The sequence below is a fragment of the Homo sapiens genome, chromosome 5, assembly GCF_000001405.40.
Source record: "Homo sapiens chromosome 5, GRCh38.p14 Primary Assembly".
NCBI classification, from domain to species: Eukaryota; Metazoa; Chordata; class Mammalia; order Primates; family Hominidae; genus Homo; species Homo sapiens.
The window spans coordinates 123166596-123187082 of record NC_000005.10 but is presented as its reverse complement, the minus strand read 5'-3'; the positions used below and the strand labels follow the sequence as shown (position 1 = coordinate 123187082).

Genomic DNA, 20487 nt, shown 5'->3' with positions numbered 1-20487 from the left:
TGGAGGCAAGAGAGAAAATTGAGACCAGGGAGCGGGGCCTGCAGGGTGATGGGCTTCCTCTCATCCTGCCTAATCAGAACAGACACTCCAAAGTGGCTTCAGATTTTACCAGCTCAAGAGGTTTAATTGGTGGCTCCTTCCAAGGCCTGGATGCCTGTGATGGGACAAAGCCCGTCTGATGCAGAACAGAGGGATCTGTCAATAGGCAGGGGGAAGGTGATTTCTCCAGAGAGCCCTGTCCTGCTGCAGCTCTGATCACTGTCAGTTCAAATAGATAAAGAACAAAAAGAGATTTTTAGGAGTGAGCCATCAAAGAAGCAGCTTGCCTGCAGTTTTCTACTCTGTAACCCCAAAGAGAAATTGATGACAAATAGAATTTCACCTACTGCTAATTTACAATTGGGAATTCTACTCCCTTCAGAACAGCAGCCAAAGAGTGTACATCTTGGAATTTGGAAACTAGAGGAAGCAATATGTTAGACTGCAGTGACTGTGAGGGGCAGTAGGCGTGGTCGCTGCTTTTTTGCAAAAGCTGGTTACAGTGTCACAGCCTAACCAAACTTAGGGTTAAAATAATTTATAAAACTAGAATTTGCAGTGGCACAGTGGAAAGGATGTACCTATGGGCTAGAATTAAGGGCAGTGTGTCTGATGAGGAGAAAATGTCACACTTCAAGATTTATCTCTTCTTTTTAACTTAAATGAGAAACAACAACAAAAAAAGACTGTAATCTAGAGACTTTGAGTTCCTCCCTATCTCCCATGTCCATATCTTCCAAACAACCTTCACTTACTAGCTTGGTGGCTACTCAATCTACAAAAAGCAGAACACACATTCAAAATCTAGTGGGAGCCTGTTGTTTTTCTGTGGATGTTGTCCCTGGCTGATTGTGATTGTGTGTGTAAATACACACACCCACAGATGAACTGTGGCAGCTGGCTGGGCACAGACAGCGACTTCTCCATCACCACCTTACTTACCTGGGCTGCCTAGAGCACTGGCCCAGCATCTAATACAGCTCAGAGGCCACCTCAGCCACCCCTAATGCCCTTTCCTCAAACCTTTGAAGAAAAAGATATTCAAGAAGAGCTACAGACAATTGTCCCACTTTTAAATAATGCAACCTCCAGTTTGTGAGCCCCTGCACTATGAAAGCTGTGGCAAAAGCCACCATGACATAGTCTCCCTGCCTTATCACAGACAAGAAAGCCACAAGCCCTGTTATCTGTTAGGCATTCCACTCTTTCTCCTCTTCAGTAAATTATATTAAGTGCCCTGTCTTGGAAATAAGTACCTATAAAATAGAACACATCAATCCACTCTGGGAATTCTTGCATGTTTTTGAACATTGGGAGGCAGGAGCTTCACTTCGCATTTGGATTTTTCAGGGCTCCTGCACCAGCGGAGTGTGTCAGGGGGAAGAACTTGTGTTTCTTTGATTGTCTTTCGGGGAATATTTTTAGCAGCCTGTTCCACTGTTAAAAACTGCACTGTGATCTTGACAAATGTATAATGTCAGCTTTAATGTATCAGACCTATCAGCTCAATGAAAATAACTCAGAAGTATTGATCACCTAATGATTTTTGGTGTATTCATTAACGTCCGTGGGCAGCTCATCCCCTCTCCAGAGCTCCTGGAGTGCTGATGACACGTTAGCGAACTGCTGATTGTTTATTAGAAAACTGATTAGTTACTGGATTAGTGTGTCAAAATATACTACCTTTCACTGCTTGACAAACTTTCAAATTATTATATTCCTTTTTTTTATCTTGAAGCTCTAGAATCAATTTCAAAGAGAGTAGAATAGCTTGAACAATTGTGAGAAATGAAAATGTGCCTGGGTCATGGTTTTGCATTTTTAATCTTGTGTATTAGAATATGAGGAATACACGAGTTGGCAGTTTAGTGCTTCATATAAGGCAAAAGTGTATGTCTATATGTAATATTTTAACATCCAGATTGGATGGAGACACTAAGAGAAAAACACATTTTTCTCAAGTGTTTGCCTAAATGCACTGCAGATATTTACACAAATGGAACAATTTGTTGTAATAGTCAGAAAATTTGTCCAATATATAGGGTGCATAAGAAGAGTATTCCAGAAAAATCATTTCTAGAGCCATCTGCACACCAAGTGTGAGTAAAAATACAAGCAAACGTGTAGAAATTACCTTAATTTAGAATCTTTTCTCAGGGAGTTCTCCTTGAGGAAAGAAGGCTACCAGAAATAATATCTATGTTGTCTGGGAATGACAAGAATGCAATTTATATATTTGAGGAAGTAAGAGCTAGATATAAAAATATTTTTTAAAAATAAGAGAAGGACTTCAGTTTTATGTTCATTATCTTACATTTTAGAGAAATCTCTTCCACAAAATATTTTCATACTTTAATGAAACTCATCTCAACAGAACTGACTCAACAGAAGTCAGAGCCAGACTTCACTTGGTTGGCATCTAAACTAACCCTGAATTACAGTCCCTGATGACTGACTGGCAGGGGCATCTCTAAGCCTGGACTTCGTGCAGTGTAACAGAGTAAGAAGGAAGAAAAGATGCAGGTAATGCGTCAGGAGGGAAAAGCGCCCTTGCACTCAGGGGCTTCGTTGTGCCTTCCCTTAGCATAGGTGCTGATGCCACAGCCTTGACGGGAGTATCTCAGGAACAATGAAGTGGAAAGTCTACTAAGTATTTCAGCTAAAAGAAACTCCTCATTGTGAGGAGTTTCTATTATACCATTGTGAGCATCTTAATTAGACTTAATTACCTCTAAAGTTTGAGATCATTCTTTACTTACTATGATGGTTGACTGGATTATATGTACGAGGAGCTTAACAAAGCGATGTCAAGTTCTGTTACCACAGAAAACCTGCAACAAGCTTTCTGTGCCTCTATGATATGCCACAAAATACTTTTTGAATTGAACCAAATTGCACAGGGCTTTGTATGTATGATGTGTTCAATGCATATTTACTGATTTGCTTCTTGGATTTGCTTTAATTTTGCCTAGATCTTGTTCAAATATTAGATGTCCTTTGGAATTTCCTTTGATTTTTTTCATCATGAGCCAAACTCCATTTTCTTGATGAAAGAACATAGCGATGAATGATTCTCCTTGCTTCTAACAATAATGAAGAACCCCTCCTAAGGAAAATTCTGGCCTGTTCTCAGTTTCCCAGGTTCAGAAAGCCAGGCTTCGGGCAGCTCACACAGATCCTCTCAGGCACAGCAGGGCAGCCCACTGAAATATCAAGACACTGTTTAGTAAGAAGGAGGAAGGAGTCCTTGCTGCATAGAATAATTTTTAGACTGCCAACTAACTTCTTTATTTCCTTCCTTCCTGCCTGCCTGCAATAAAATGCTTGGCCATTGCTGTTAAATGATATCTTGCGTTTGCTCCTTGTTTTCCATGACTTCCAGTATCATAGAGCAAATTGAAAGCCAAGACCTTCAATGTGATCCTCCAATTTTTATTTTTCGTACATGCTCCTTTATCTTAGAAATCCTAAGTCTACGGCCTAGGGTAGCTGCTGACAGGCCCATCATCTACCTAGAACATGGGAGATGGATTCTTTCAGTGGAATTTCAGTCAATCAGATATGAGGCAAAGCCTGGATTGAAACTCTGACCTCTTCATGCCAAATCTTCTGCAGCCTTCTTTGGATGGCAGTAATCTTGATATGCCTTCAAAAACCACTTCTCAGCAGAAGATTTTAGAAGTTGTAAAGGGCTTTCTCTGACATGGCAAGCTTAATCTCAGCTCAACCCTGAGAATTCTGTAAAGGCCTCCTGAGCCCTGGATGGGTGGGACAATTTGGGGACTGAGCCATCTGGGGCATCTATTTGGAAACTCCCCAAGACATACAGTTGAGGGTTATGTGCCTTTACAAGATTCTTCTCCTTCTTTGTAACATTGTGTAAGCCAATACCCATTAGTTGAAGTAGTAAAATTAACTGTTGTAGAGAAACCCATTTTATTGACTAATCTGCAAAAAAAAGGTTTTTAAAAATGTTTGTTTTATAAGCTTGTAAAAGGATATCTTCATAATATTTACAAATGTCCATGGGATGAATATCCATGAGCTATGGTTGGAAGATTCCCAAAATTCCCTTGGGATAGATCAATTCTGAAAGACCTGGTTGTATACACTAAAGGATTTAACTTTCCATTTCCTAGAAGATGTTTAAATCTTGCACTTTCAAAATAAGCATACACTCAGCTCTCCCCTGGGAATATCTATTTGATAAATTAAAATAAAAAAAAACAACTACAGCATGTGGCTGTCTAGATAAAAGTAGGAACAGAAAGAACTAAAACATATACACAGAATTTAAGCCAACAACCTTAGTTGTTTCCTTTTTTTTCCAGATGAAAGTAGGTATGATCAAAACATATATTTTTGGAAAAGGAAAAATACAATCAGCAAAGCCCTTCAAATATTAATCTGATGAATTAAAATTAAGTTAAAATGGCAACTCTATTGGAAACATGACAAAAACAGATGTTAAAGGAAAAAAATTGAGTGAAGTCAACAAGGTTACACATAAGTAACACCTTAACATTAATAGAAATCTATTTCCCATTTTGACCCTGAAACCGCTTCAATTAATTACTAAAATCTATTTACACAGCAACAAGATAAAAATCAATCTGACTCCTGGCACTGTATTGGTCTGGCTGCCCTTTCTAATATAAGGGGCCAGAAGGATCCTGAACCCTCCTGTATCTCTGCTTTTGAAAAGCTCTCTTGCTCAAAGGCACAGGCAACGTGCCACTCATTGTCAACACCCTCCTCCAGAGCAGTGAAGCCAGAACCTAGGAACCCTACGGGGCTCAGGCCTGAGGGCAATGACAAAGTCCACTAGGCAGGATACAAGCACTGGTGATAGGGAACTCCTAGGACTGTGGTAGCCCATGCAGCTCCTTAGGGTGGATTAGAAAAAGATGCCCTCTTTGGGCTATTGCAGCCTCAGGCGGCACAGCATGGGTGGCATAGTACAGACTTGATTTTAGGCCCCATCCTGCCCACTTAGCCAGATGCTCTTATGCAGTGAACAAGCTGCACCTATGTACCGCAACAAAAATTATCACTATTTTGATTATTAACACCATAAATTAAACTATGTTGGAGAATAGTTAAGAATGCTGAATAAAGTAACTAATTATTGAGGAGAAGAGGGACAATGACTATCTTTTATGAACTTCTCCCTTCACTGGCAGACAGAGAGGAAGGCAGGACCCAGACCAGAGAACTCTGTTTCCCAAGCTGAGCCTGGCCTCAGGCTGAGCACAAAGTGCGCCACGACAGCAGGTCTGGATGGAAAATCCTGGGTAATGAGGCTCTGGGAAGACTTCTTGGCTGAGACTGAGCAGGGGGATTAGTCTCCTACTGCCTGAATCATTTCCTCTCTTGCTTGATCATGTCCTACAGAAGGTACATAAGGCGGTAACTCTATGCTCTTTTAATTCTCCTTCTCAAACAGAAAAAGCCAGTAGAGCAAATGAGTGAAGAGAGCTGTAAGAGGGTTGAACTGAAAAGAGTTCATCACACAGACCATAAAAACTGCTCTGAGAACACCAATCAACCATGCATGCTGACTCACACTCTCAGGCCTTTCCACCTGCTGTTTGGACGGCCAGAAATACCTTCCCCCATGCCCCGTATGTCTAGAAATCTCCTACTTATCCTTCAAAACATATCTGAAACATCATTTCCACCAGATAGCATTGATTACTCCATTTCTGTGCTACTGTGAAACATCATACATACATGTCTTACTGTTGTACTTTTCACCCTATAATACGTTTACTAATTGGGCTTCCCCTTAGACTATGAGGTTTTCAAAGATGGAGAAAAGGAGGAACAGCTAAATGTCATTCACCTTTGTATCTCTTGTACCTACCAGGGTGCCTAGCAAAAAAGTACATACTTGGTAAATACCAGCTGAATGAATGAACACATACATAACTGAATGAGTAAATGAATGAATGAGTGAATAAGTGAATGAATAGACCATCTTGCACGGATTCAGATGTCCACCATTTGGATAAGTGTGCCATGTGTAGAAACACACTCTCTTGCTCAGATGCCATTATCTTGCCAAAGCCCTTAGAATTCAATTCCATCTGTTTCCACATTCCCTGAATCCTCAAAAAGTCAATGTACTCTGGGTTTGGTTTTGTTTTTCTTTTTTCACCAACATGGTAATTCTAAAGTCCAAAGTATACACTGAAAAGTCACAAGTTGGCTGCTATAATAGGTTCAAACTCTTTAACACATAGGAAAGAGGAGGATATATTTCATCAGAATCCTGAAGGGTTCAAGTTCTCCAAAAGGGGATTATTCGGATGTTCTAAACTTGTGGTCACCTTTCTGATGATCGTAAGGCTTGCTGATGGCCACAGGAGCTCTGTGTCGCTCCTAGATAAAATTCCAGAAGCACAGATCATCAGGGACTGAAAAAAATATTAAAATTATTTACTCCTACCTCTTTATTTTAATGATGAGAAAACAGACCCAGAAGATTTGTCTCACGACCAAGGTTGGCAACTTGAGCTAGGACCAGTGCATAGGTTTCCTGACTTCATTTTTCAAATGTCAGCCACTAAACAAGGAGAGATTCGTTTGCAGCCTGGACACTGGCCTTCCAAGTAGCCTGTGCCAGCTGGCTAAGCCAGGCAGCACTGTGCTGATGCATCAGCTGGCTCTTGGGAAAGGCTAAGAGAAAGAGAGGGTGGAGGGCTAGCCACTACTTACTTGAAGGGCTTTTCTCCAGTGTGGGTTCGGATGTGGTTGTTGAGGGTGGTGGCCCCGGCAAAGGCACGACCACAGTAGCCGCACTTGAAAGGCCGGTCACTAGAGTGAGTGACCACGTGGTTCCTCAGTTCTGAAGGCTGGGAAAAGGACTGGGAGCAGTGGCCGCATTGGTAGGGTCTGAAACAAATAAACAGACTGTCTGGTCATTGTTTTCTGCGTTGGTCAGTGGAAGTCAGAATCATATGACAAGGGGCCAAAACTTATTGGTGACATTTTCTCAGTTTCTAAGACAGGGCATAGAGCTTTGGCCACTGGATTCCCACTACTTTACTTGTTGCCACAGGAACAAAATTCACAGAGCTGCTGAGACACATCAATTCCCGAATGAATACCCCTTTCCAGTACTAATCATACCATTTTGGAAACCCCTACTTTCTTATTTTTATCTTTCCCCAGGCAAATGTTAGGGTACTTTTGTAAGTAGGGAAAGTATAGACTTCATTAAGCAGACTGTTACAAGAGAAAATATATAATTGTCTCTTGTGCTTCCATAGCACTTTCATCTTTTTAAAGTGCTTTAAAATCAGTTATCCAGTTTAATCTTTATGATAATCCCCTGGGACAGAGAAGGCAGTTGCTATTATCTCTGTTAGTTCAGAAAACTGAGGATAAACTGTCCTCCCGGGACACAAGCTCTTGATACTAAGGCCGTTCTAGGATGTTTGGACCTCATCCTAAGTACCAGGTAAACACACAGGCAAGTCAGCAAGTTACATGTGTGTTTTAACGGATATTAAACTGTGGTGGACTTATAGCATAATCACTGGTATTGCACAGATGAACACAGATGTACACCCAGATGTGTCTCTTTGTCAAAGATATCCTGACTTCTACCTACTATTCCCTCCTCCAAATATTTATCCATTAGATCTTTCTCTTGAACATCACCTCCCCAGTTGAATCTGGCAGCAAGGCATGATTTATAGCAGCACAGAAATGATAGGATGTCATTGTGCTTGCAGAAGGATGATTCTGATGCAAAAGCAAATGGAAGGAAGTGGTGACAAATACCTGATAATTAGCAAGATTATCAGAGCACATTCTTCCCAGCTCACGAGAAGTAAATCAATTTTTGGTTTTCATAAAATAGATTAAAATTCTGTCTTCTCTACAGAAGTTCTTCTGCTTACTTAAGCAGAATCTGGTGAGTGATATAAAACCCAGGGAGTTTTCCCTATTCAAAGCTATTTCATATCATTCCTTGACAGGATTCTAATTTGTTTATCAAAATTTTTGTTCAGATAATTAATAATCTGTCGTGAGGGATATTAACAGCATTCACTAAGCCCTGGCTTATGAGCCAGACATTTCTGGCTGCACTCAGAAACCAATGGTGAAAGCAGACTTAATTGCTCAACCTTTAACAAATGCACAAGCTCCAATGACCAGAAACCAAAATGAAGGGCCGGGAGACAATGGTGACTGAGCATGTACAACAATTCAATTAAGTGCAAAATAAAGTGTACCCTCTCATTTGTCAAGTGAACTGCTTAATTGTGGCCACTTGCCTCACTGAACACAAATACTATTATTTTACCAGGCTTCAGCACACTGAGCCCTGATTGTAGAATTTTTTAGCTTGACTAATAGCCAAGGATTGGTCAATAACTCAATACTATACAATTTTAATTACTTACATTTAGAAATCTATCTAACTGCTCTCAAACAAGTTTCAAAGAAATATATAAAAAGTCTTTGGTAAGGAGTTTATCAATCTTGCCAAATTACACATGCATTTTATTATAATCATAAAATAATCCTTTGAAAACCATTAAAATTATATGTAGATGAAAATGTCCTCCTGCCGAATCTGTTCTTTGTGGCAAACATTAAACTTGAAAGGGTTCCTGAAAAAATAATTCTCTCAGGGTTGAATTTTCTAAACTGTTATTGAAGATTATAAACAAAATAATATATTAATATATGCTATATTCACTGACAATTGATTTTTCTAATAGTGAAGGGACCATTAACATTTATTAGCCTCTGGTTATCTATTTTTAATGGCTATCACAATAAACAATAAGCCACTAAATAAAACCAATTAATCTTTTCTTTTTTTTCTAACTCTGCTGTCAAAAGTTGGGGTGATTTATTTCTCACAGTCAGAAGTCAATCCATCCTTTTTATGTTAATAGTTCACGGTGGTAAAGGTTTACACACAGGAGAACAGAAATGACCACAGAGAGGCTTATGTTGAATTCTTATATCAAAGTAACGCCAATGGAAGGCAAATCGGATTCTAAAACATCACCTTTGCCTGGCACTGGCTTGAGAGGCATATGCTAGGGATGCAGTGACCTATGGCACAGTTTTTAAAACTTCGCAGAACTCAGGTTGACTGAATGGAAGGGGCTAGAACGGGAGAGATAGGACCCCTGACTCTGATCAGCTGTGGCATTTGGACAAGCCACTCAACTTCCCTGACCTGTCTTCTCATCTGCCTGGTAAGGGGAATGGACTGAAGATGATGATCTCTTGCATCTCATGCTTGTTCTTGTTTTCAGGTAATTGACAAATGTGCATGACCCAGGAAATCTGTACAATACACTGCCTCCCAAGATACAGCATCACCAATATGATCTCTATTCTCCATCATGTCTACAAGTCAGCTCCCTATACATGGAGCTTTCTATGGTTGTGTGTGTGTGTACATGCTCATTGGAATATGGAAAATTTAAATGCATTGGTAAAAAGTTGAGAATTCAGAGTAAGAAAATCTAGTACCAAAATATAGGACCAAACCTTGTTTTAGTTAATCTCTAAAAGCAAAGCAATATTCCTTCATTCTTAGGTACATTGAAAAATAAGATTTTAGAATACTTGGTCACATACACCTTTGCAGAGGCTGATTCTGTATAGAATTTAGAACTGAAGGATGTACCTCACCTGCCACTATAATAACAGTGTCTCTTTCAGCCTAGAAATTTATAGAAAGTTAGCCCTTAGAAAGTACAGAAGTTACACTGTAAGTAGACAAGATTCCTTTAAACCCCCTTTTCTTGTATTTTCAATATTTCCTTAAAATATGAATAAAAGAAAATGATCAAAAAGTAATTTTAAAATTGATTATGTGCCTAGGGTTTCATCCAGGGAAACAGGAATACGTTCAAAAATTAAATCTTCAGGCCCAACAGCAGAGCTTAGGAAACATTTTCATCACTTTGGAATCTCAGGCATCACAACTTCTTTTGGGACAACTGGCCACAGGAGTTAAGACTATGTTTGCCCATTTCAATTAGCACATCCTAACTCCACGTCTTTCAATATACAGCCAAAGGGCCTTTGGAGCGCACAATTAATTGTCATTACTCAGCTTTTTATTCTGACAACCAACATTCCCATTAATTTTCCAAGGTCTGACCAAAAGGTAAGACTTATTAAATTTTTGGATATAATCAGTTCTGAAGTTCTGCCTCCCTTGATGTGTCATACTCGGAGACACTCTTAAGAACTGACATTCTTGAGTGCTGAGTTTAGCTTTACTCTTTCCAGGATCTCATGACATTGCACAACTAAATGGAAATCTTCTTTAATTTTTTTAATTTTTTGAGACAGGGTCTCGCTCTGTTGCCCAGGCTGGAGTACAGTGGCGTGATCGTGGCTCACTGCAGCCTCAAACTCCTGTGCTCAAGTGATCCTTCCACCTCTCAGCCTCCTGAGTAGCTGGGACTACAGGCACGTGCCACCATGCCCAGCTAATTTTTATATTTTTTGTAGAGATGGGGTTTCACCAGGTTGCCCAGGCTGGTCTCAAACTTCTGGGCTCAAGTGATCTGCCTGACTTGGCCTCCCAAAGTGCTGGGATTACAGGTGGGAGCCACTGTGCCCAGTCCCAAAATCTCCTTTTTAAAGCACTTTATTCTCTCTAAATCATCATAGACATATAGCACTTCACTCTTCTCAAAGCAAAGGCAAACAGTATGCCTCACAAAAGGACAGTATCTCACAACCACAAGTAACTTATGGTTTTTTTTTTGTTTTTTTTTTTTTACCATTTGAGATCTTTAGTAGTGTTGTCTAATGACGGAGCTGTTCTGTATCTGAGCTAGCCAATACTGGAGCCACAAGCCACATGCAACTGCTGCACACTTCATGTGTGGCTAGTGCGCCTGAGAAACTGAAGTACTATTTTACTTAATTTGGATTAATTTAAATGTAAATAGCTTTGTGTGGCTAGTTCTGACACAGAAATACCCAGCTTGATGAAAAAACAGAAAGGTGCTCCTTAAGAAAGAAAGAACTGAAGAACAGAAAACACCTGGGTAGATTTAGTTGGTATATATCAATGCTGGTAAATGTTTAAGCAGAAAGAAGGCAGAGAGACAATCTTGCACATCTCCTGGCACTCCTGGTCACTGGCACCTCCTTTGCCAAAGATAACTCCAGTAAAATGTGCAATTCATTTGCTTTTAATCTGTAATTGGTTTGGTGTATACATGGGAAAAGGATGAAACATTTAACAAAATTAAGTATGGTTTGGCTTAAAAATATTAATCCTGCTTTAATTTTTTCTTCCATGGCCTCCAGGACAAAACTTGTTCAGTTGGGGCCACAATCTCTCCTTGTTCAACATCAGCCAGCCCAAGTGCAAATCTCTCAAGACTTCAAAGAGAGATTACTTAGGTCACTGCTGGCTGGGTGGAGTGAGAAAAGAACTCAGTTCTACGTAAGGAGAAAAATATTTCAGGACAGTGACAGAAGTGCAAGACTAAACAGCCTGAAGAACATCAAAGCTAGAAAGAAGATAACCTTCACACTTGGGGGATGGGGAAGAAGTGGGACACAAGAATACTGATACATTCTAAGAAACTATTATGATGATGAATTCTCTCCAGGCCCTCCTATCAGAGAGCCCCTTCTAATGTCATTTTACCCTCTGATCCCACCACATCTCTTACAAACAATGATACTTAAAACACAAATGTGAATAGGTGATGGTGTGCCCAGGAGGCTGAAGGCAGACTTGCCCCATGTGGCACAAACAGTCAAAAAGGAGAAAGGAAAAGAAAAGGGATGCAAAATAAAAATAAGCATTATAAAGACACTTTCTGCAGGAAATAAAAGAGAACATACTTGTCAGAAAACAATCCATTGTGATTGAAGGCTTTGCTTACCCCTTTCTGGAGCATACCCCCCACCACCATACTGCCCCCAATGGGAGTGCTGAGCAAAAGCACTTTTGGTTTGAGCAAAAGCAAGAAAAGCTACTTTGGCCTAGGCAATAAGCTTATGCAAAACCCCAAATGTTTATAAAGTTCCTGAACAAAATGTTGGTTGATTTAGATTCCAACAGCTGCTTCTCTTCGAATTTATTCAGGAAAAGAAAAAGTCAGTAGCCTGGGAAAAAGGAGGAAGAGATTTTTGATTTTGCTTAACAGAACAAAATCAAGTAATAATAATTCCATGGTTCCTGGACCCTCATGGGTGTGTTTTTTGTCTTTAGTGCTGATTTCTACTTTGCCAGGTCAGACAGATTTTTTTTTTCTGTGTTAAATGTGAATAACACAGTGGTTAAAAAAAATAAATAAAACAAAATAAATGGTGAGGCTGGGATCCCTGAGGATCTACGGATTTCTTTCCTTTATATCAAGGCATAGACTTTTGATGGTATCTCACATGAAAAAGCTCATGAATACAGACACAAAGTCTCTTGGATGGAGGTTGAAATATCTGGGGTTTCATGGCCAAATATTCAGTCCATTGAATAAAAAATCATTTGGACCTCAGATTCAAGGGCCTGTTTCAAATTTGGACTTGTTTGAAACTCTAACCTGTTTTACCTTCTGACTTTCTCTCCTGTGTCCCCCTTTCTTGCCTTTCTTGTACCTGGTTCTAGCAAGATTTTCCTATCAAAATAAAAGCTTTTGAGTTTTCTGAGCAAGGGAAATGCATTCTAACTATCCAGCCTTTTCACTGTAAGTGGCTGAATGGGCATATATTGCTAAAGACTAAAGGCCAGCTGATCTTTGGAATCAATCACTAAAGAATATACGTATACAGGTTGAGCATCCCAAATATGAAAATCCAAAATGCTCCAAAATCCAAAATGTTATGAACAGCAACATGATGCTCAAAGGAAATGCTCAATGATGCATTTCAGATTTCAGATTTTCAGATTTGGCATGCTAATCCAGTGAGTATAATGCAAACATCCCAAATCCAAAACAACCCAAAATCCAAAACTCTTCTGGTCCCAAGAATTTTGGACAAGGGATACTCAACCTGTATTCAGCAGTAATAATCCACGTGGATAATAACCATAAAAAGGTTCCAAACGTAGCTACTGTCATGAACAAATTTGATGTCCCATTACAGTTCTGTACATTTTTTCCGTTTAGCAATTCACCCATGTGGTTAAGAAATTACGGAGAGTATCTCTTATCTCCAAACTTTCTGGTACAAACAGAGCATACTGGGTTCCGGAACAGAAATGAGCCATTCCAGCCCTTTATACTAAAAGCAAATTATGTAACTAGAATGAAATTAGGGGGTCCAAGTGACTGGATATCTCCCTCTATTTCCCCTTATCTTCAACAATCAACTCAGATGTGATGATGTAAGTCAAGCATTTCCTCATCATTACTAAGAAACATTGTATTTTATTACTTTGCTTATAAAGGAACTGATCTTTTGAAGTAATTTTTTATTTTAACTTATTCAAGAATGATGGTGAACACCTCTCAAGTCTTTACCAACAAACTGCAGGGAAGGAACCCACTGCTTCAGTAATTTAATCCCACTCTGGCACCTTCCCAGATAACAAGCCCATTACTTCACCTCATCTGGAAAGGCTGGCAATTCCACACTTGGACATCTGAATCAAATAAGCCCATCAGGGTCCATGATAAGACAGGAGTCTCATGCCGCCTAGATTTTTGCCAGTAACTCTAAATTAGCTTGGAATCAGTATAGACCTAACAATCTCCCACTGAAATGTATTTTGAATACGTAAGCTTTCTAGTTTTTCAGGTATTTTTTCTGATAATATACATAAGTATATTACGAATTATGACATTATTATTTTACAGGACAGACATCATAACACATACATATAATTTTTTTTTTTTTTTGAGATGGAGTCTCACTCTGTCGCCCAGGCTGGAGTGCAGTGGTGCGATCTCGGCTCACTGCAAGCTCTGCCTCCTGAGTTCACACCATTCTCCTGCCTCAGCGTCCCAAGTAGCTGGGACTACAGGTGCCCGCCACCATGCCTGGCTAATTTTTTGTGTTTTTAGTAGAGACAGGGTTTCACCGTGTTAGCCAGGATGGTCTGGATCTCCTGACCTCGTGATCCGCCTGCCTCGGCCTCCCAAAGTGCTGGGTTTACAGGCGTGAGCCACTGCGCCCGGCCCCACACATATGATTTTCTAAGCGTAACTGAGATCAGACAAAACAGTCTGTTTCAGTATCTACCTACCATGAAATAGTTTCATTGCTTTATATGGCATTCAGCATAAACTCATCTCATCTTCAAAGCTAAACTTTTAAAGTTCTACTATCCAGAAATTTTTCAACTATTATTTTATTTTACCTGGTATAATTAGTTATTATGACTATAATGAACCTTTGCAAATAATAGATCCAACCATCTGAATTCACTCTATTTAAAAAGCAAGTTTATAATCAGATTTTAATGCATCTTTTGTATTTTAAAGACTACTAAAATGCTTTGCAAACTTAAAAGAGACATATCTTGAGGTTCTACGTATACTTGCAAGGAAGGCAAATTTTGAAAAATATCTTTTCTGAATGAGGAAAACATTTTTAACTTTTGTATCACCTCTACGCCAATAGTACTAAGATGTGCAGAAGTCTGTTGATACTCTCACCAGGGGGCTCGCCTATTGAAAATAAAGATTGTGAAGACATAGCTGCCTTAACAACCCTAATTAATGTTTCAACATTAATTAGCTACAGCAATGTTGATGCTAAGCAAGTAGTTTTTCCAACAGCACAAATAAAAATGTATGCATGTGTAATGTGCACATGTATCCTGTAATTGATTATTATTATTTTACAAAATATCCACTCCCTCTCCCCGCCACCTCCATCCTCCCTGCCTCTGCTTGGGTTTTCTAGGCACACTGTGTACCCTCCAGAGCTGGGAGGGAAGAGCTGGGTGTACATTATTAGGCGAGGAGAGCCAAGTGGCTTGCTTAAATTAGTGGCAAAATTAAGAAAATAACCCAAGAGCCCTGCTTCCAAGTCTCCTACCCCAGCTTCAAAAATTATCTTCTGCTTTTATATTCAAAGTGCATTTTGAATGCTATTCTTAGATACTTGGATTTTAATCAAGTTTTCATAGAACATGAAGGAGAGATAAAAACACAAGCAATCCTTTCTTATTGAATTAATTTGATTTTTGTCTTTTGCGCTCCCAGCTATCAAAACTGTCAAATAAACCGGTTTTGATTCATAAATAATAGTTCCATTATATCTACTGTGCCACTCATCAGAGTACCTGAAATTTTAATTCACTTGTTCAGCTAAATTTCATCCTCAGTTCATGGCCATAAAATTCTTTATTGACAAACTTTCAAACCAACTTTGACTCTGAGGTATCTAGTCAACATTTTTCTTCTGTGTGGATATTAGTTTATTGAATAAGTGGCATCTGTTTTCCTCCACATCACTAGCAGAGTAGGTATTTCCTTTTGACAGCTTTGCAGGATTTATGGGTTTGCATGCTCTGAAGAAAAATAGTACTAAGCAAAAAATTCCAATTCATTACCTCTTAGTACTTAATTAAGTTCATACCCACGGCACACTGGAGGTGAACCCTGAAATGACTGTGACAGCAGCAGAGCAGCCAGCTATATTATCTTTGGAAGACAGAGAAGATTCTAATTATCCTGACCTCATTTTTCCACCTATGATATTCATAAACGTTCCTTCTATTTCTCTCTCTTTTAGGCTTGGGCAGAACTGTTCGGAAGGCAAGTGCAGATTCCTCTCTGCAGCCACCAACCTGTCTGTGCAGCCCTTATATGCAAGAAAGTCAAGCAGTGGTCTTGCATTTCTCTCTGACCTTCCAGAATGCAGACACCACAAATCACAGGGCTTCCCCTGTGGAGGTGCTCAGAAGTTGGCGGGAAGGCAAGCAGTGGGTCTCACTAAGCAAACACACTGTCAGCAGTGAGAGTCAGGGTTACCTGTCGGGGTTCTGCGTGCACACGTGCATCTGTAAGAGGATCCGCTGGGTGAAAGTCTTAAAGCACTGCCCACATTTCCAAAGATGCCAGTCACTGAACTCCGAGTGGAGCTGGCTTGTGGAAGTTGGGCTTGCCAGGACTCGCTGGTTTTTCACGTTGATTTGATTAAATCCTGATTCAATGGGCCCAGACTTATCCAGAAGAGAGAAGTTCCTGCTGCACGGAGTCTGGGGGAAAACAACGGAGCGCTGCTGGGTGGTAGGGGCGAGTTTGCTGCTTTTGTTGAAGGGCTGCAGGGCGTCTTGTCTGCACATGGCTTCCATTACCGTTGAAGGGACATTTACTAGGAGAATAGCAACAGTTTAGAAGAACAGTTTTATTAGCCTTTAAAATAAGCACAATAACACATACTTTTAAAAAATCAAATAAATCAACCTTTTAAGAATTTGTGTTTCTGGACTCAGAATTAACATAACAAACCATCTGATTTGAGGGGAAAAAACTATTATCACAGATTAATAACTCATCTGATGCCTATTTATGAAGCAACTGTATGCTCAGGATTGTTTTACATGGTCTTTGCCCTCATGGAGTTCACTTATGACTTCAGACATACAGGAGTCCATAGTGAGCACCACACTGCACCTATGCCTGGAGGGAGTTTAGATGGGAGGCACAGCAAGAGAGAGGGAGTGAGCAGGGGATGTTGCCCAGAGAGGGTAGCCCTGAGCAGTGCAGAGAAAACGGATTCAGCTTGACTGATGGAGAATTTCAGGCTTTCCTCCAGATCTTGGCAGCACAGGATAGGTATCCAGGAAAAGCTATTTGAAGAGATGAAGGGAACAAGACGAAAGACACCTGGAGGCAGGAGAAGTCTAGCATGCAGGTGGGAGGAGGCAGGAGGAGTGTCGCATGCAGTAAGGGAGACGGGCTGACTGAGCAGGGCATGGGATCTGGTCACTCTAGGAATAAGGATTGGGGGTCAGAAGGAGACCTCAGAGGGCCTTAAAAGTCCAAATAAATAAATAAGATATTTCAGACCTAGGAAGTAGACACAGACCATTCCTGAGCAGAGGGATAGCAAGAAAAATAGAACCAGTGTTCAGGAAGGGCTTGAGAGAGACCTGATTTATAGATGGGATGCAAGTGGATAAGGAAAGAGTAGGAGGCAACCAAGTGTGGTGCTTGTGACTCGGGCTTTGGAATCTGAAAGACCTAGGTTCAAATCCTGCCTCTTCCTCTTATTAGCTAAGTGGTCTTAGGCAAAGTATTCAATAGCTCTGGGCCGCAGTTATTCCATCTATAAAATGAGGACAGTGGTACTAATGCTTCTAAAAATAATAGCAGCATGGTGTGGTGGCTGAGATGGCTGAGGTTTTAACTCCACTATTTACTAGCCTTGGGCAAGTATGGAACATCTAAATCCGTGATTTGGTCCCTGGTATAATGTAAAATAGTCACTCTCAGGACTGAATGACATAACATAGAGACAGCATTTAGTAAAGAGCTTGACCTATGGTTGACACTAAATAGATGTTCGGCCCTATGAGCCTTAGCATCCTCATCTTTAAAGTCCCCTTTTACAAGGTTTAAATACACCAATGAAAGTACTTATTACAGGGCCTATCATGAACAGCAACTACCATTTTTGTTATAGAAGGAGAAGCGACGGGTGTGAGGGAGATGGCCCTAAACTGGGGTGGTGGCAGTGGAAGTGGGGAGAGAACTAGAAGAAATACTTCCGAGGAGATAAATCTAATAATATAGCTAGAATTTGCTGTTCTTTTTATTAAGACATTAGTGAGTTAATAATATTTGTAAACTATTTGCTGGTCATTTCATAGGTCCAGAAGTGATTAGAACCTAATAGGCTTAAAAATTCTTCTTTTTTTATTTTAACTACTATATCTATGGATCATTTCAAGGCTGAGAGATTAAAGTTACCAGGTGGTCAAGAGAATGAAATTAGAGACCAAAAATTTTGAAAAGGATATTGGCAAAAAGACTGTGATAGCAAGTAACAAAATAATGCAGACTATGGCCACTGGCCACCAGTTCAAGGCCGCGTGGCAGGAAACACATGACCTGGGAGCACTCCTCATGCTGTGCCACAGATCATCTCTGAGAATGCTACATGGCACGAAGATGCAGGCATCCTCAACGGTGGGGGACTATGACTGCCACGAAGCTCTGTGCTCAAGTGGACAGGGAGATGCCATGTGTGGGCACAGAAAGGAGTAGGTGTGCTGCCTAAGCACTCTTCAACTGAGAACATTCTGCAGCATCACATGTGTTAAGCAAATCCAACCAGAGGACTAGCTCTGTCTGCAGGGCTCTGTCGGCATAGCCCATACTGTCTTAGGAAAGAAAAGTAAAGCAAGAGACTTGCAGACCTAGAAAGAGCCTAGCGTTTGTCTAGTTGGCAGTTCTTAACCTTGGGTACTGCACATTAGACTCACACAGGAGAATCTTTAAAAACTACATTATAATCTCTCCATAGGGCCTGGGCATCTACATTTTTTAAAGTTTCCCAACTGCTTCTAAAGTGAAATCGGGGCTGAGAATCACTGATCTAATCCTACCTTCTCCTGTTACAAATGACAAAAGCCGAGTCCCAAGAAGGTCCAGTAACTTACCCTGGGTCACACATTCACTTAAGAACATATCTAGGTGGCAAGTTTTAGCTTTCAGACTTATAAGACAGAATTTTTTTTTTCTGACCATACATTCATAGCATCTCTGCTCAATAGCTGTGTTTCGAAATTTAAAGGATGTTTTTACAGCTAGTACATTGTTTTGTGTGTATTATATACATAAATATACATGTTATATATACTTACGTTATACATATACTTATATACACCTACGTACGTATGTTTGTATGTATGTCTTTATTCTATATACAAATATTTATGTATATTTCAATTCTGGGGCAAAAGAATATAATCAATATAGAATTTGTGGACAGTTTTTACACTTAAAAAATATATTATGGCACACAGATTGTTACTTTTTAAATAGGCACTGAACGACAAGAAGGAATGTTTTGCCATGCTCTGGCATTTTTTTAAATAAAACATAAAAACAGCAGCATTGTCAGAGATTGGGGTAGAACCACCTTGTTTGGCCCTTTCATTACTAATCCAGGAGAGGCAAAGCACAGGGAAGCCCACGAGGTTTTAGGCAACATTAAGCTTTTACAGGCCAGGCAATTTCAAACTAACAGGAAGTAATGCATGGTGAGAAAAACCATAGAATGAAGATGTCATCAACATGCAAGAGAGTGGGAAATACTGGCCAGCTGCCTCACTGTAAGAAAAGGAATAAAATGCTTCTGGGGGTAAATAATACAAATAATACTCTAAGTGTAGATGATAGATTCTGAGCTCTGACTTACACTCCTAGAAAGTAACCTAACTGAGCCGGATGTGGTGGCTCACGCCTGTAATCCCAGCACTTTGGGAGGCTGACGCAAGCAGATCACCTGAGGTCGGGAGTTCAAGACCAGCCTGACCAACATGGAGAAACCCTGTCTCTACTAAAAATACAAAATTAGCTGGGCGTGGTGGCACATGCCTGTAATCCCAGCTACTTGGGAGGCTGGGGCGGAAGAATCACTTGAACCTGGGAGGCAGAGGTTGCGGTGAGCCGAGACCGTGCCATTGCACTCCAGCCTGGGTAACAAGAGTGAAACTCCGTCTCAAAAAAAAAAAAAAGTAACCTAATTGATTAATTCTAAAAAATTGTTAAGGTCACATAACCTTTTATATTAAAACAAAAGAATGTGTGGGTGACAGGGGAGTAGGGATGAAGAGAGATTGATTAATGGGTAGAAATTTACAGTTTGGTAGAAGAAATAAGATCTAGTGTTTGATAGATCAGTAGGGTGACGATAGTTTACAATGCTCTATTGTATATGATCATGCCACTACACTCCAGCCTGGGTGACAGAGTAAGACTCTATCTCCTAAAAAAAATTTAAAGCAGCACTTTTAGGAGACACACAAGATTATTCTTCCTAAATATCAGCCTCACTGACTATGTCCATTAAAGGTATAAACTAAACACAAGAAATTTTCAGAAAAAGGACAGGAAATTTCATCCCAACACAAGAAAGACAACATAGACAACGGCAAAAGGTGCAGAGATGGGTTATTAAAATGACCAAAAAGATGAAGTGGTTTCTGCAAGAAGCAATATTGAGCTAGTCAATCTCTTCAGTCTGGAAACGCAAAAATTAAGGGGAAGAGGGCAAACTCTCAAAGCCTTAAAGGATACAGTCAAGGAAGAACATGAACGCATGAAATTTGGACAGTTAAAATATTGAGAGAGGCAAATTCAGGATCTATAAAACTAAGTTCAGTTTACCCCTTCCTCGTTCATTCATTCAGTCCACAAATAGTTGCTGAGCATCTATTACATGCCTGACCCTGTGCTAGGCACCATGGATATAGGGGGATCAGGAAAACCAAAGTCACTGCCCTCTGGCACATAAACTCTAGTGGGAAAGACA

At 40.1% G+C, this 20487-nt stretch overlaps 1 protein-coding gene across 4 annotated transcripts in view; it reads right to left on the bottom strand.

The window, feature by feature from the left end:
- Positions 1-20487, bottom strand: part of PRDM6 (PR/SET domain 6) — a 105026-nt gene that overhangs the window by 7184 nt on the left and 77355 nt on the right. For 2 of the 4 annotated variants that reach the window (NM_001136239.4, XM_011543726.4), the window contains 2 exons: positions 15975-16317; positions 6760-6936 (listed from right to left, as the gene is read on the bottom strand). In NM_001136239.4, the coding sequence (NP_001129711.1) occupies positions 6760-6936; positions 15975-16317 (520 nt within the window). Of the gene's footprint in view, positions 1-2; positions 259-6490; positions 6608-6759; positions 6937-15974; positions 16318-20487 lie in introns of those variants that run through there. The other 2 variants (XR_001742346.2, XM_047417878.1) reach the window with 2 other exon arrangements.